The sequence below is a fragment of the Homo sapiens genome, chromosome 9, assembly GCF_000001405.40.
Source record: "Homo sapiens chromosome 9, GRCh38.p14 Primary Assembly".
NCBI lineage: Eukaryota > Metazoa > Chordata > Mammalia > Primates > Hominidae > Homo > Homo sapiens.
Genome location: NC_000009.12, coordinates 109,078,714 through 109,094,386, shown reverse-complemented (window position 1 = coordinate 109,094,386; position 15,673 = coordinate 109,078,714). Strand labels below are relative to the sequence as shown.

At 36.7% G+C, this 15,673-nt stretch overlaps 1 protein-coding gene across 11 annotated transcripts in view; it reads left to right on the top strand.

Annotated features, from left to right (window-relative positions):
• Positions 1-15,673, top strand: part of TMEM245 (transmembrane protein 245) — a 104,813-nt gene that overhangs the window by 25,561 nt on the left and 63,579 nt on the right. The window contains exons 4-8 of one of the 11 annotated variants that reach the window (NM_001438164.1): positions 796-912; positions 3,235-3,465; positions 7,045-7,214; positions 8,367-8,390; positions 13,444-13,548. In NM_001438164.1, the coding sequence (NP_001425093.1) occupies positions 796-912; positions 3,235-3,465; positions 7,045-7,214; positions 8,367-8,390; positions 13,444-13,548 (647 nt within the window). Of the gene's footprint in view, positions 1-795; positions 913-3,231; positions 3,466-7,044; positions 7,215-8,366; positions 8,391-13,443; positions 13,549-15,673 lie in introns of all 11 variants that reach the window. The other 10 variants (NM_032012.4, NM_001438166.1, NM_001438170.1 and 7 more) reach the window with 10 other exon arrangements.

The window sequence follows — 15,673 nt, the reverse complement described above, 5'->3', positions numbered from 1 at the left end:
TGTCACATGTGAGACCTCGGCTGCAGGGGAATCCAAGAAATACAATTTTTTTAGCTCTCCAGTCTAGTGTGCAAGAAAGTGTGCTAGAACCCGATGCTATGTGAGCTATTCTTCCTTGTCTGCTATAGAAGGTTAAAGGTTGACAGACTTCCTTTGCCAGTGAATGTTTTACTTGAATTTAGTGCAAATGATTGAGCTTGGTACTACCTATTAGGAATTTAACATGGAAATATATAATGTGAAACAACGTCATGATGTTCCTTTAGATTTTCAAGTGGTGGATTTTGCCTGTACTGAGTTATGTAATTTATAAATCTATATGGTTTTGCATAATAGCCATATATTCGCATACTCATTTGTGGAATGTTGTTATGACCACCAATTGTGGATTATCTCGTACTAACATGAGACCTAGTCATACAACATAGCCTAAGACAGTCAGATCAGGGAGCTCACAGACTTGATGTGGTAGTGTTTTTCAATAGAAGTATGCATTAAAATCAACTTGTTAACAAATGTAAGTGTGGGACTCCAAGTTTACATGTGTAGTGTCTGCCACATCCACCAGCATTAAGTTCCCAAAGGAGGAAGGTATACAGAGAGTCAAGGGATTTGCTTTTTTAGCACACTTTCATGTCAATTCTTAATGGTTCTTCCTTGGTGAAGAACCACTTATTCAGTGGGTCAGTAGTAACCATTTTATTTTGTTGTTGTTGAAAATGTTGGACTGTGTTTAAATTTGCAGCCATTATTTCCTACTTTAAAGAGTTTTGAAAATGGATGCTTCTTTTACAGGGGCAGAGTTACCAGGGCAGGTTATCTCCATGGCAGCTTCTACTCTGGCAAACTTGGCCATCTCTATCACAGGGTATGAATCAAGCAGTGAAGACCAGCCCTCCACTCAGCCTGCAGGTGACTGATGTTCTGGTGACATTCAAGGTTATTCTGGAAAATGAAATGTACATAGAAAGTAAAATTCAGGACACCAGCATCACAAAATGCTACTTACTCCTGCTGATCCTTCATTTATTCTCTTTGGTTCCTATTTTTATGCCCTTTTCCCTCTCATCTTTGTTCTCATATATCACTTTTTAAATACATGTAATTATGTAACTTCTTGAGTTTCTTACCTTGGTTCTTTGTTCTTTCCTTTTTAAAAAAGGCTTTTCTTATTTTTCTTCTGTTATTCATTGCTTTTGTTTTTCTTATTTTCCTTTTCTCCGTCTCCATTTACCTTTCCCACATTTCCCTCCACTTTACGCATATCTTATCTTGATTTCTTATTTTCCATTTCTTTCTTCTACAACTGTCAGTTCTCCTCCATGATTTTATTTTGCCCTATCTCTTCCTGTTGTTTTTTCTTTCTTTTGTTCCCTTTTCCCAACCCTTTTTTTGGGGAAGACTTTTATTTTCCATCTTGCAGTCATCCATTTCTCTGTCATTCTTTCTCTGAAAGTTTGCATGCTTCATGTGTTAATATATTGACCCCTCAAACAGACCCCTCTGGTTGTTTTGGACTCGTTGTCCTGTGTGGCCTGGCTTTGGGAATTGCAGGCTCCTGAGGAATCCAGCTGGTAGATATACCAGCTGTAGAGTCATGCTGTACTCTTGCAGAGTTCCAGAATGTAAAAGGCCACCTTAGTCTGTGCTGAGAGATCCATTAGTGCCAGAGGTATTTGGAGTTAGGGAATATTTAGAGTGAATTCTCCTTGAAGAACTGACTTTAGAAATGTCAGCTAAGATAAAGGAATTTGGTGTAGTAGGAACACTTATTTTTCTTGCACATGGAATTATGTTTCCAAAGTGGAGAGGAAATGATATTTTGGTTTTGGACTCATTCTTCCAAATATCTGTCACACCCACCATCATGAAGTTTCCAAATTAGAAAGATAACTCAGAGCAAAGTCAAACAAAAGCATCTGTTAACTAGCTTGGGCTTTAGCCCTGCACTTTTAAGGGTAGAATGTTGGTCCTAGTGAGGTGAGCTGACTTACCAGGGTGCAAGTGATCTCAGTAGTAAAAATTGACTCATAGCTGAACTTTTAACATTAAAAACACTTAAGGAAATTATGATACAGCACTTGGTGGGCTACTGTATGATTGCTTATGAAAATTATGAAACAACAGGGAAGTCATTCATTCACTTATTTAGTGAGCACCTCCTATATATGAGATACTATTGTATGTGCCAGGAATTCAGTGGAGGGAGAACAAAACAGACAAGGTCTTAGCTCTGGTGGAGCTGACTTTCAACTGAAGAGAAAGAATGAGAAAGGATAAGTAGAACATGCTACAACTATGTAAAAGACCAGGGGGAAAATGTGAGGTTGGGATTATGGGAGTTCTTATTTCTTTTCTCTTTTTTCTAGACTTTTTTTCTGACGTATGATACTTTTGTAATTAACAATCCACACATTCAACGTGACATACTTTTGTAATTAACATTTTTTTCTAATGGAAGGCAAAATGCAAGTTTTAGGATCTTAATAATTTTCATTATTATAGTATATATAGAGTAATACTACTTTAAGAGTTTTATGATTTCTGATGTGTATGGTATATCTTATTAAAACTAGGAAATAGAAATAATAGCACCCTATAGTAAAATGTAACATGGTGGTTGCATTGTTAGAAAACAGTGTCTTATGTGAAATAATCCAGTATGGTTTCCTTTATTTGAAAATCCTCACCCAAGAAATCTGTCATTGTTTTTGTATCTCATTCATGTTTATATATTCTGTTTGAAAGCCCTGGGTTCTTGTAAGATTGGTTGGTTCCATTTTAGGTGAAATAACACTGAAAAGTCTTCTTGTGTCAGAAATGTATATAAATACACCTAATCTAAAGTTCTATTGAAAGAAAAGGGATTTTTAAATATAGAAATTCTAGTATATGTTAGCATTTGTTTCTTTAAATAGTTTGAATAAGTTTTATGGGATAATTATAATTCTCAGCTACTTTGTCATGTATTTTGTTTTAATGACTCCCAATTCTATCACCAACTAACTTAGTCTTCCTAAATTAAAGCTCTATTGGCATTGTAATTCTCCATGTTTTTCAGTGCATATGCAAACATAGGTCCAAATATTTTTGTCTTTTTTAACCCGATGTAATCATACCATATCAGCACATTTTGAAGGCCTGAAACAGGCTAGCCTAATGAGTGGCTCTGTATTCCCATTTCCTCATGTGGACTAATGCGGTGTGTGGTGTTTTTCTTTTCCTTTTCAGAAGCAGTGGACAGGGGAGAATCCGCTCCAACGTTGTCCACCTCCCCTTCACCCTCCTCCCCTTCACCCACTTCCCCTTCACCTACTCTGGGCAGACGAAGGCCTGAAATAGGAACGTTTCTTAGAAAGAAGAAAACTAGTGACATCTACTTTGTGTCTCTAGTTTGGGCCATTGTCGTCATGCAGATCTGGTTGAACCTGTGGATTGTGCAGTTGCTGCCAGTGCCGATTGCAGGTCGTTATCTGGTTAAGTACGATCTCGTCTTGTCTTTGAAGATTGATTTTTTTCTTTTTTTACTTTTGGATTTTAATATTTGAGATACATTTACCGTCTTGCAAAGTAAAACAATCTTATGTTTGCATTTAAATAGTAAACAAACACCATTTGGTTAATTTATTACTTTGATACATCTTTAATATTTCACTTTTTTTTTTTTTTTGAGACGGAGTCTTGCCCAGGCTGGAAGTGCAGTGGCACCATCTCAGCTCACTGCAAGCTCCACCTCCCAGGTTCATGCCATTCTCCTGCCTCAGCCTCCCGAGTAGCTGGGACTATAGGTGCCCACCACCACACCCGGCTAATTTTTTTTTTATTTTTAGTAGAGACAGCGTTTCACCATGTTAGCCAGGATAGTCTCGATCTCCTGACCTCGTGATCTGCCCATCTCGGCCTCCCAAAGTGCTGGGATTATAGGTGTGAGCCACCGCGCCCGGCCAGTATTTCACTTTTAAGCTCAAAAAATGTGTTTAGCTTCTTACAATTTCATGTAGTATTTGAGATTAATAGCTCCATAGAGAGATTTGATTGTTTAGCCATCCATGATTCTGTGAAGGAGAATGTTAACAATATCTGTGTTTTGGAATTTGAAGATCGAATGATTTTTTGTTTTTTTTTTGAGACGGAGTCTCGCTCTGTCACCCAGGCTGGATTGCAGTGGCGCGATCTCAGCTCACTGCAGCCTTTGCCCCCTGGGTTCAAGCAATTCTCCCACCTCAGCCTCCTGAGTTGCTGGGACTACAGGCATGCGCCACCACCCCTGGCTAATTTTTTGTATTTTTAGTAGAGACGGAGTTTCACCATGTTGGCCAGGCTGGTCTCGAATCCTTACCTTAAGTCATCCGCTCACCTCCGCCTCCCAAAGTGCTGGCATTACAGGAGTGAGCCACTGCGCCTAGCTGAGATTGAATGATTTTTGAGCGCTACTCTTAGGGAAGCACGTTTTACCTTGCCTTTTTAATTCAAAGGAAATGTAGGCTTTGAGAAATACATGTATGCAAAGTCTTGTGATTTGGCAGAAAAATTAAATTACATGTATATCTATATTATATGTATTACATCAAAATGGAATCATAGTTTTCCATAATCCATTAAATCAGGTCTTTGTATCTTAATGCTGTGGTAATTTAAGGCCCACCTCTATTGTTTTGATTCTCTCTAAAACTGTCTTTCTCCTAAGACTAGAAAGAGCAAGGGAGAGTTTTCTCTGACAGGTGCATTGTAGAAACATCTTTTACCTAATATTTTCCTGATTATTTGGGCTCTCTTCTTATGGCAGCCATATTTTGTGCCAAATTTATTAAGTCCTTAGTGGCTGCTGTGGATTTTGCCTTCTGAGTACCTTCTACATTTGATTACTCCTCATTTCCTATGTCAAGGTTTTTCACTATTGATTAAAACGTAATCTGATTTTTGGAAGCTGCTCTCCACTGTAGTCTAAAAGTCTAAACTTATTAGCCCATTTACCTTCTAGACCATTAGTTTTCATCACTTCTTTTTATTTTTCCTCACTCAATTGGATAGTTAATTAAATAGGCATTATTTTTTAACATTTATTATGACCAGAGCATGGTATAGTAGTGCCTGTCCTCAGGGAGCATGCAATATAAATGGTTGAAGTTTGTATCTGTATTTTTTTTTTTTTTGAGACAAGGTCTCACTTTGTCACCCATTCACCACAGCCTCGATCTCTCAGGCTCAAGTGATCCTCCTGCCTCAGCCCCTCAGATAGCTGAGACTACAGGTGCGTCCACTGGCTATTGTTTTGTATTTTTTGTAGTTTGCCATGTTGCCCAGGCTGGTCTCAAACTCCTGGACTCAAGCAAACCTCACACCTTGGCTTCCCAAAGTGCTGGGACTATACAGGTGTGAGTCACCGTCCCCGGCCTATATGTGGTTCTTCTGTCCTCAAACAGAACTTCTGTTAGGCAGTTGGAACAAGATACAGCTTTAATTAAGCAAGTCACAGAGCAGATACCATGCCATGCTTCCTGTTAAACTGAGTGGAACAGTTTAAATTGCTCTTCTAGATTGTTCCATACTTTTTTTTTTTTTTTTTTTTTTGAGATGTAGTCTCGCTCTGTTGCCCAGGCTGGAGTGCAGTGGCGGGATCTCGGCTCATTGCAAGCTTCACTTCCTGGGTTCACACTTTCTCCTGCCTCAGCCTCCTGAGTAGCTGGGACTACAGGTGCCTGCCACAACGCCTGGCTAATTTTTTGTATTTTTAGTAGAGACGGGGTTTCACTGTTAGCCAGGATGGTCTCGATCTCCTGATCTCGTGATCCGCCCGCCTCGGCCTGGGATTACAGGCGTTGAGCCACTGTGCCCGGCCCTGTTCCATACTTTTTTTTTTCCAGATGATTTTATTATGCTGGCAAACTGTGTGTCAAATGCTGTTGCAACTCTCTTTTCCTTAAAGTTTGTTAGCAGGAATTTCATTTCTCTTAGTTATAGCTTAACCTTCTAGTCATCATAGGAATTTGACATGATCTTGGGACAGCAGGCTGTGAATAAGGTGGCCCCTAAAAGCTTTTCTACAGCTTGTAATTACCCTGGACTTACTGAAACTATAGGAGTTCTTTTAGGGCTTTTGTAGGGATTTAAAAATGGTAATAAAGGAATTGTTGAACTTGTGTGTAACACTGAGCTCATGGTTCAAAACAGCAAATTGTGAACCTTTAGGTTGCAAGGCCAGAGCTAAGAACACAAATCTCTAGAGTTAGGGAAATTATGTACTGATTGAGATACAGGGTCCAAACTTGAAGGCAAGCCTCACAGTTGAGTAACACTTCTTTCTGGCCCTACCACCTTCTTAATTGGCTTCTAACAGGAAGCTTAACCTCTGCTTAAAGAGCCACTTCACTGCCCAACTCCAGGAGGAGACAGTGTGGTTTGAGAGTGGTCCCCACTGAAGTTGCCGTGCACAGCCTTGGGCCATTTGTAGCAGCCCTGCTAGTATTCAGCTTGCTTCTCTACTGAACCCTGGCATCTGTTCAGATGTTGAGAGCAGCATCAAATGGGGAAATAGGAACAACATTACTCTGCAGTGGTACAAAATCATGATGCGTATGGAATACCTTATACTTTTCTGGTCACTAAATAACGAGCAACTAAGGAAAAGAAGAATATTTGACAAGAACAGCTATAAAAGCCAAGGAGATGAGGAAATGTCAGGGGTTTGTATTATTTACCCAGGAAGGGGGAATATGCAAGGGGCCAGAATTGTAGTCACTGAAATCTTCACGATGAGATTATCTTTTGTTTATGTGGGCTGTAAAATAATCCCTGACTCTACAAGGATTCAGACTTCAGGAAGAAGATAATATATAGGCAGGTGGGGATGGTTTGAAAAGTTACTTGGTCCAATTCCATCTGTGTGGGGAGTACTTTGAGTCCCACCCTGCTTTTTAACATTGATCTTCTTTTTAATACTAGCTTTGTTGTTTTAGAAAGGTTTTGTGAAATTAAGGTACCTTTTCATGTTACAACTTGTTAATCTATATTTTGTTTATATATGTATTTTTTGTCTTTTTTTAGTCTGGATACTCAAAAAGCTTGTCATTCACTTTGGAGTTGTGGATTTCCTAGAGAAACGCTACCATGTGTGGTGGGGCATTATAGAAAGCTTCCTGAAGGAGCGGCAGGGAGCTCTCGCGCCTTGGCCCATTGTCGGGCTTGGAAAATTCTTGTTAAAAGTTGATAGCAAGGTATTGTATTTTAAGGACTTGGGCTGTCTTAATGGAGTTAATATATTTCGTGGTTTGAACTTTTCCATTCTATGGTGTTTATATTGTAACTGTTGATAACACATGTAATATCTAATTCTATGATGAAAGTTTAATGTTTAAAATTATGGTTTACACAAGGATAAGATGGGTTTACTTTAAATAAGGCTTGTGTAAGTATTTTTTCCTCATAAAAATGGGAGAAATGGATTTTCTGATTTAATTCCTTCATTATATTAGGACCAAATTGAAATCCAGAGAGGTTAAGCGACTTGCCTAAAATTATGTAGCTAGGTAGTGGCTCAGTTTAGTGAATATTTTTGGAGTAATTACCATATGTCAGATACTGTATTAAGTCCTACGGAAAATCAGATGAATCATGGAAAACCAGATACAGAAGCCTTGTTTATTGGGGAAAGACAGCAGTTGATAAAAATTCAGAGATGGCGGTTAGATTTAGAGCCTTAGTGGTTAAAGAGCATGGACTATGAATCCATGAAGTTTCCTAACCTTTCTGTGCCTTGGTTTCCATACCAGTAAAATAGGTACAATAGCACCTACCTTGTAGAATGGTGGTAAGGGTTAAATGAGGTAATATATGTAAAATCCCTAGATTATTGCCTGGTACACAGTGAGCTCTATGTAAGTATTAGGAATTTGTGTAGGAAAAGTGTGTATGGGATACAGTGGCAGCACTGAGCAAGAAATGACTCACTGTTCATAGGGTCATGAGAAAGGGAAGGTTAGCAGAGGAAGTGATACTGGAGCAAGTTTTGAAGCACAGGCGGGAGTTTCTTAGGTAGACATGGCCAGAAGGGCAAGCAGACGGAGCAGTGCAAAGGCATGGAGACACTAAGCCTACGAGCATGCAGGTTATTTTATGTATTTTTAATTGTTGGATTCCCAACAAAGATGTGGTTATCATCATTTCAATCATTATATATCTTAAAGGAATACTACATTCCGTTGATTTTAAAACTTTGATGTGTTACAGTTTTTCCGTCCCTAGTTTTTCCTTTGTCTGGGATGGTTTCCTTCTCATGCTTTCCTTTTCTTTTCATACTATGGTTGCATTCTCTAATGATACTCCACTGTTCTTATCTTCTCTTTCTCACCTTACCCCCTATCCTCAAGCTCTGGCACTGGCTAAATAAGAAGGTAAATGAACACCCAGATGTTGGTTTTTACTATTGAATTCCGTAATGCCCCTGTATCGCCTTTTTCACTCTATGTTTCTGTCCATGTGTCAAACTAAGTTTTTGTTTTCAAAGTTTTAATTATAAGCTATGGAAGGTTGTGAAGCATGAATACTATCACAGTATAATTTGGTAAAAACTCAGCAAAGGCTGTCTAGGATATGGATGGTATCTCCTTGCTCAGGTGTTTGTAAGAAGTTCTGTCTCATAGTCCTTTTGTCCCCTGTAAATCCAGTTCTGTAAATGTGGCTCAGCCTGATATTCTAGTCTCCTTTGATGTGTGAAAACACATTAGGCAATAGTTATTGTAAGGGCAAGAGAGAACTCTCTGTTTGATACTTTTTCTATAAAAGACACAGGAATTTTTTAAAAAGACAAATCTGTGAAATATTTGTATGGTTTCCTTGGCAGATAATTTTATATATTGTCTTTTTTTAAATAACTAGTATTTCAAAATTTATTTTTAACTTAAAACAGATAGTAGTCATGACCTGTGACATCGAATTTTGTGTTTTCTCCAAGGTATGAGGTTGTGTCTATGGTAAATGCTTCACATGATTGGTATGGCATTATAATAGGCACACTTTTAATAACTTCAATAAAGGCTAATCCAGATACATTAGGAATGTTGTACCTCGACATATAGTCCACATATCGTAATGTTTAAATTAATTTTAATGAATTAAATAGCCAGGCCTTGTGGCACACACTTGTAGTCCTAACTACCCAGGATGCTAGGGCAGAAGGATTGTTTGAGCCCAGGAATTCAAGGTTGTAGTGAGCAATAATTGCACCATTGCACTCCAGCCTGGGTGACAGCAAGACTCTGTTTCTTAAAAAAATAATAATTTCAATGAATCTCTAGGACAGATAGCAAGAGATGACATCATTTATATATGTTGTGTTTAAACATAATAAAACTATATATATGTCTTTTGTGGAAATATTATATCAGGCCTTAAGAAAGATGTAGTACTTCTTGAAAATAGATCAAAATGAGACTTTTGGATGGGTTAGGATTTCATTTTTTTCTGTTGAAATAGAGGAGAGGGGAGACTTGACAATGCCTAAAGTTTTAAAGTTGAGTTGAAAGGAAGCATTGTGTAAAATAAACACTCCCACACTCTCACATGGTTGTGTATGTCTCCATTCCCTATAAAACTAGTATGGGTAAGTGAGTTCAATCCTTGGCAAATGATGTGCAAATATAAGTCACGTTTTAAAATTTTGACCAAAGAATGTGGTTTCTAAAAAATTTTTATTTGTTCTAATTGTTTTTTAGAGACAGGGTCTTGCTCCGTTGCTCAGGCTGGAGCAGTGGCACAATGAAAGCTCACTGCAACTGTGAACTTGGGCTCAAGCGATGATTTTGTACTTTTCTTCAATTTGTGTTATATTGAAATGAAATTGCCCTCAAGAGATGGGGGAAAGGAGAATTAAATTCATTGGATTAAATTTGATTTAACCTTCAGTGGACTAAATGAGCTAGATTACCTAATTTATGAGACTACTTCATAACTGAATCATCGAGTTAATTTTAAAAGATCTCTAAGATCAAGTCCTTTTTTTCTTTCCTTTGATGATTCCATATAACATAGTAAAGCATTGGTGTAAAGATAGAGTAACTGCTTGAGATTTTGAGCGGGTACATTCCAAGAAAGGACATACATAAGTTGAGAACTATTTTATTACATTACATCTCAAAGTCAGAAAATTGCAGCACTGGGTAATGTTGGTATGTAGAAATTTCAAGTGGAGTGAATTAGGAAACCAATTCAAGAGAAGAGAGGGTGAGAGAGCACACATGGGTTAATTGAAATGTAACCCATTTCTCAAGAGTTACTTGTTTTATTTCTTTTCCTTTTTTTTTTTTTAAATTTGAGACAGGATCTCACTCTGTCACCCAGGCTGGAGTGCAGCGACGTGATCTTGACTCACTACACAACCTCCACCTCCCAGGCTCAAGCAATCCTCCCACCTCAGCCGCCTAAGTAGCTGGGACCACAGGTGTGCACCACCATGCCTGGTGTTTTTTTTTTTTTTTTTTTTTTTTTTTTGTATTTTTAGTAGAGATGGGGTTTTGCTATGTTGCCCAGGCTGGTCTTGAACTCCTTAGCTCAAGTGATCAGCCTGCCTCAGCCTCCTAAAGTGTTAGGATTATAGGTGTGAGCCACTGCACCTGGCTTTGTTTTATTTCTTAGTATTGATTATTTGCACTAAAACTCAAGTGGAATTTTGTTTAAAAACAAAGCAAAATGAAAAATATATAGGCCCAGAATAATGAAAGAGAAGAAAAACTCAGTAGTGGAATACTTTCTTAATAGCTTGATAAATAGGCCAGTTAGTGTAGAAGTTTTAGAGTATCTTTTGGTGTAACTATAAATTTACTGACATCTCTAAATTTAAAAAATGCATGCCCTTCATTCACATTTGAAACATTCGGAATGTCATTTTAAAATTACTTCTCTTTTTTTGAAAAATAAACTTTAAAAATTAAAGTAACTTCTCAGTCTTTCAGCATGGAAAGATTGGGGACATTTAGAGACTTGGTAATTTCCATGCGAGGGCAGGTGGATTGGGTTCCTTTGCCCAAAGCAGAACGTGGGACAGGATCAGCCTCGTGAGATAGCACGTCTGGCCTTTGGTCCCCTTCTCCATTGCTTCCTCTCTTTATGTTTCTCTTCCTATCTCTCCGAGTTGCTGTTTCTTTGTGAGTCTTTTTCTATTCAGTCTTTGTGGGAGTTGGTTCATCTTTTCCTCCATCTAAGTTTTTTATCCTCTTCACTTTTTTTCCTCTTTTCGTCCTTAGTTTTATGTATCAACTCCCCGTGCCCCCATTTTTTTTTTGCTTGACCTTCTCTGTTTCCTTTTATTCTTGAATAAATCTTAGTCTCTGTTTCTCTTTCCCACTCTTTCCTCTCTCTTACTGTCTCCCTTCTTGTCCTGTTCTCAGCTAACTTAACTGGCCACATGTGACGAAAACAACAACTTCTTAGCTTCTTTTTTGAGCATCTTAAATAATTTTGTTTATTTTAAATTTCAATGAAACATCCAACCCTCACTGTCATCCCTTGGATATACGTTTTTATTTAGGTGACTGAATTTTTTTCAACCTTTATGGCTTGTGATAGAAAAATTTTACCCTAACTTAAAACTAAAAAATTGGATATTGTAATGTTAATGTACCTAATATGTTTTTGAATATTCTATGTTTTATATGTTAAAAATACTCAAACATGTTTCTAAGTAGAATATCATTTACATTTAAAAATACATTTCAGGATATGACTTTTCTGAAAAAAAAAAAATAGAGGCTCTACATTATTTTCAGAAATTGTAATTTGTGGATACAAATACAGTCTTAATTCTGAAATTATTTTATTTATGCTTGCTTATTCAAACACATAGTAATTGAATGCTTACCACGTGCTAAGCACTTAGATTTTGGAGATACAAAGAGGAGTGATACAAACCTAGCTCTTTCCCCAGGAAGCTGCCTTGATAACTAGTTTTCAATTGGTTTCTGATTGAAAGTTTTCAGTTTCATTGATTTTAGAATTTAACTTCAGAATATGACATCTGACCTTCCATATCTTAGAAACCTGTTATTCCTTTTTTTTAAGTCTCTGCATTGTCTTTGATGCCTTGGTAGCATGCACTGAAAATTAACTCTTCTGTTTGAAGCTGTAATTGTCAAGATTAAAGATTAACTTTTTATCTTTGAGTTCACTTTAGCATTGATCTCTTAGTGACAGTGCCCTTGATGAAAAACAGATAAGGGGGGCACAAGCTTATAAACGTCAAGTGAAAGTAAATGCTGCAGAACTCATGTTGTTTTTTTAACCAACATTCTTTGCTTTTGGATGTTTAATTCACTGGAGAGCATAAATCAGATCTAAATTAAGAATAACTTATTTAGCAATGCTGTTGCTCACCTTGGGGTTGAGCAGTGCATTGTGGTGTTTCAGCAGTTATTAATCTAGTTAAATGTAGTTTTGAAATGTTAGATGGTAGCTTTGCATGAAAGGAATTCTAGCAATCTATCAAGTATATATTCTGAAAACACAAGTTGTTTAAAATGTAGGATTATTTGTGGTTGTGAAAGATGAAGGAAGTTATAGCAAGATAATGTCAGATAGCATTTAGGGAAAGCACAGTTTTAATAACTGATTAAGAAACAGCTACTACATTGATTATATCAATTATAGTCATGTCATAAAGCTTATGTTTTCAGAAGAATAGAAACTTCAAGTAGAATATCAGATTTTAAAAAGCATTTTATTATGTATTATGAAATATTTCAAACATAAAAAGATGTAAAGACTATCTACCAATGACTCCCCCCTTAATAAAACAAATTAACCTGAAGGCTGTTTTGTGCCCCTCCTTGATTGTGCATTCACCTCCCAACCCCTCGCTCCTTGGGCAACTGTTATCTTTGTTATTTGTCATTGCCTTAACATTAGATTTTTTTATTACTGCTTTTGTAATTCTAATGATATCAAATGGAAAAAATATTTTGAATGCAACTCCTCTTTTAATTTGCTCCAATTTTATCTGTATTTTTTAGTCCATGCCTGTATTATAAGTATTATAAATACTATCTGTATATACTTTTGCTAAAGTCGTGTGTATTTGTTAAACTGATGATACAGCTTCATAAGATTTTAGGTCAGCTAATGGATTGTCAATATTTTGTTTAGAATACTTACCAGGTTATAAATTACAATTTGAAACATAGATATCCTATAGTTTGAGAATTTGAACATAGATATGGATTATGTTGAAATCGACTGCCTTTTTCTTAGCTATGACAGTAATAAACTATATAACAACAGCAGTAATGAGTACTGTGAAGTTTTTAAAGTTGCTTAAAGCTTTTATTGCTTTAATTATTATGCCATAATTTGCTTTGCCATGCTGGAGATCCTGTTTTGTCTTTATGACAATTGAGTATATGTATTTTTAAAGTTCTACTTTAAAGATAAGTAATTCTCTTTTTCGTTTTTGTGCAGATGATCATCTGGTTGGAGAAGATGTTAGATAAAATAATTAGCATTTTCATCATATTTTTGTTAGTGATAGGAACTCTTCTTTTAGCCCTACTCCTGACTGCAAAGGTAGAGTACAGTGATTATTATTCTCATTAATAAACCCTTAATTGTTAGAATTGTAGTCTGGATTAAAAGCTAGCAGAAGGGGCATGGAAAATGTTAACTTGATTTAAAAGTATGTACAATAGCTAAAGGATTTATGATTTGTATATTACTAATTTTGCCATGAATTTGCCTAGTATATTTTCTTTTCAGACCTCTTTTACATGCATTTTTATTTTATCGAAACCCTTGGGAGTAAATACAAATGAAAAAAATGAGATAATGAAGAACAAGTGGCGCTTGTTTTTTTTAGTTTAATAGGAGAATTAGGATCTGGTCTTATGAATTCTAATCTAGTTAGTATTCTTCACTAGATCAGAATTTGCTGATTACCACCTTCCATCCTTGTCTCATTGATCCTTCTGCTGATATATACCATAGCACCTTTATTTCTCGCTTTCCAGGTCCTTCCAGCTTACATTTCCTTTCCCCATTTTCATCTCATCAAAGAAAATTATTCTCTAAAGAACACCTAAAATGTTATCTTTATAGTGATATCTCTTACTATTTTTTTTAGGCTTATCAAGTCTGACAAGATTTCCCCCCCACTTTTATGGTACATTTTAATCTTTATTTTATCTGAACCGTATTGAACTCCACAACCCAGATTTTGGTATGTTCTTTTCAAGGAGTTGGTGAAGCTTATGTGAAATCATGGATACAAAATTTTTTTTATTCCTTTAGTTCCCATAGAGACATGTTGGTAACTATAATTGATAATCTAATTAACCAATTTGCTAAAGAACTGCACTATTTCTTCAGTGGCATCTCTGCTTGGAAGTCCTATTCTTAGTCTCAGCTTCAGTACACCCTCAAGCTATCTTATTTGCTTCTAAAAATCTCTTCTAGTACTTCTGTTTCAGTCTTTGTATAGTTCCTATCTGTTCTTTGGATATTAATTATGTATAGTCACGTATATATACTGTGCAGACTTATTTAGAGGCTTTTTGTCATATTTTGCTTAAACCTGCTACTGTGCAATCTTACATTCCAGTTCTTTCATTAGTATGGTCTTTTTTTTTCCTTTCTCCTCTCTTCTACACTTCTATTCTACTTTTCCTTCTTGGTCCCTTTGCGTAGCATCTTTTGCCTGGCCATCTCAGTTTTATCTTTTAAGTCCTTTTTCTTTGTTCATCCCCTGCTTCAGTGAGCTTTTGCTTCTCTGAACTTTGATAACAAGTATTACTGAACCATTTATTTCTGGGTGTAGAATTCATCCAAACTGAGCTTTTGAGGGAACCTTATTGGTTATCTAATTCATTCTCCTGGCCAGTACAGCTGTCATTCTCTGAAACATCCATGACAGTATCTACTTGAATGTTTAATGGACATCTCAAATGTAACGTCAGAGACTGAATTCCAGACCTTCCTCCAGTTGTCTGTTCTTCTCATAGTCTTCAGTGACAACTCCATTCTTCTGCTTGCTCAAATGGAAAGTCTCAGGATCATCTTTGACTACTGTTTTTGTTTTGTATCCACATCCAGTTTGCCAGAAAATCCTTTTTGGCTCCACCTTCCTAATATGTCCTGGGATAATAGCAGGGTGAGGAAGTCAGGTAATTCCTTTCCACAGAAATCAAGAATAAAACAACATGAAATTATTAAAAACACCATTTAAAAGCATTAGAAAATGACCAGGTAGGCAACTAGGAGATCTTTCGTTGATGAAAAGCTGCTACTGTAGCTGGTAAAAACAGGTACTTTTTCTTTACAGGTAAAAACAGGTGACATTCTTGCATGGGCAGTAAAACCTGCAGCTTTTCTTGAAGGAAGTATTCTTCAGTGCACAGATGTGTTTAGGTTTAATGTAGCTTCATTTGTCTATTTTTGCCTTTGTTGCCTGTGCTTTTGGTGTCAAGTCCAATTGGAGATGAGCAGAGCCTCAGACACCTGTGGGACAATATCAAACATCTAGCAGACATGTAATAAGCATCCCAGAAGATGAGAAGAGGAAGAGAAAAAGGTAGAAAAAATTATTTGAAGAAATAACTGCTAAAAACTTTCCCATGTTTGGTGAAAAACATTAACAGATCCAAGAGGTTCAACAAACCTTCAGTAGAATAAGCATACACAAACACAAAACCATGCC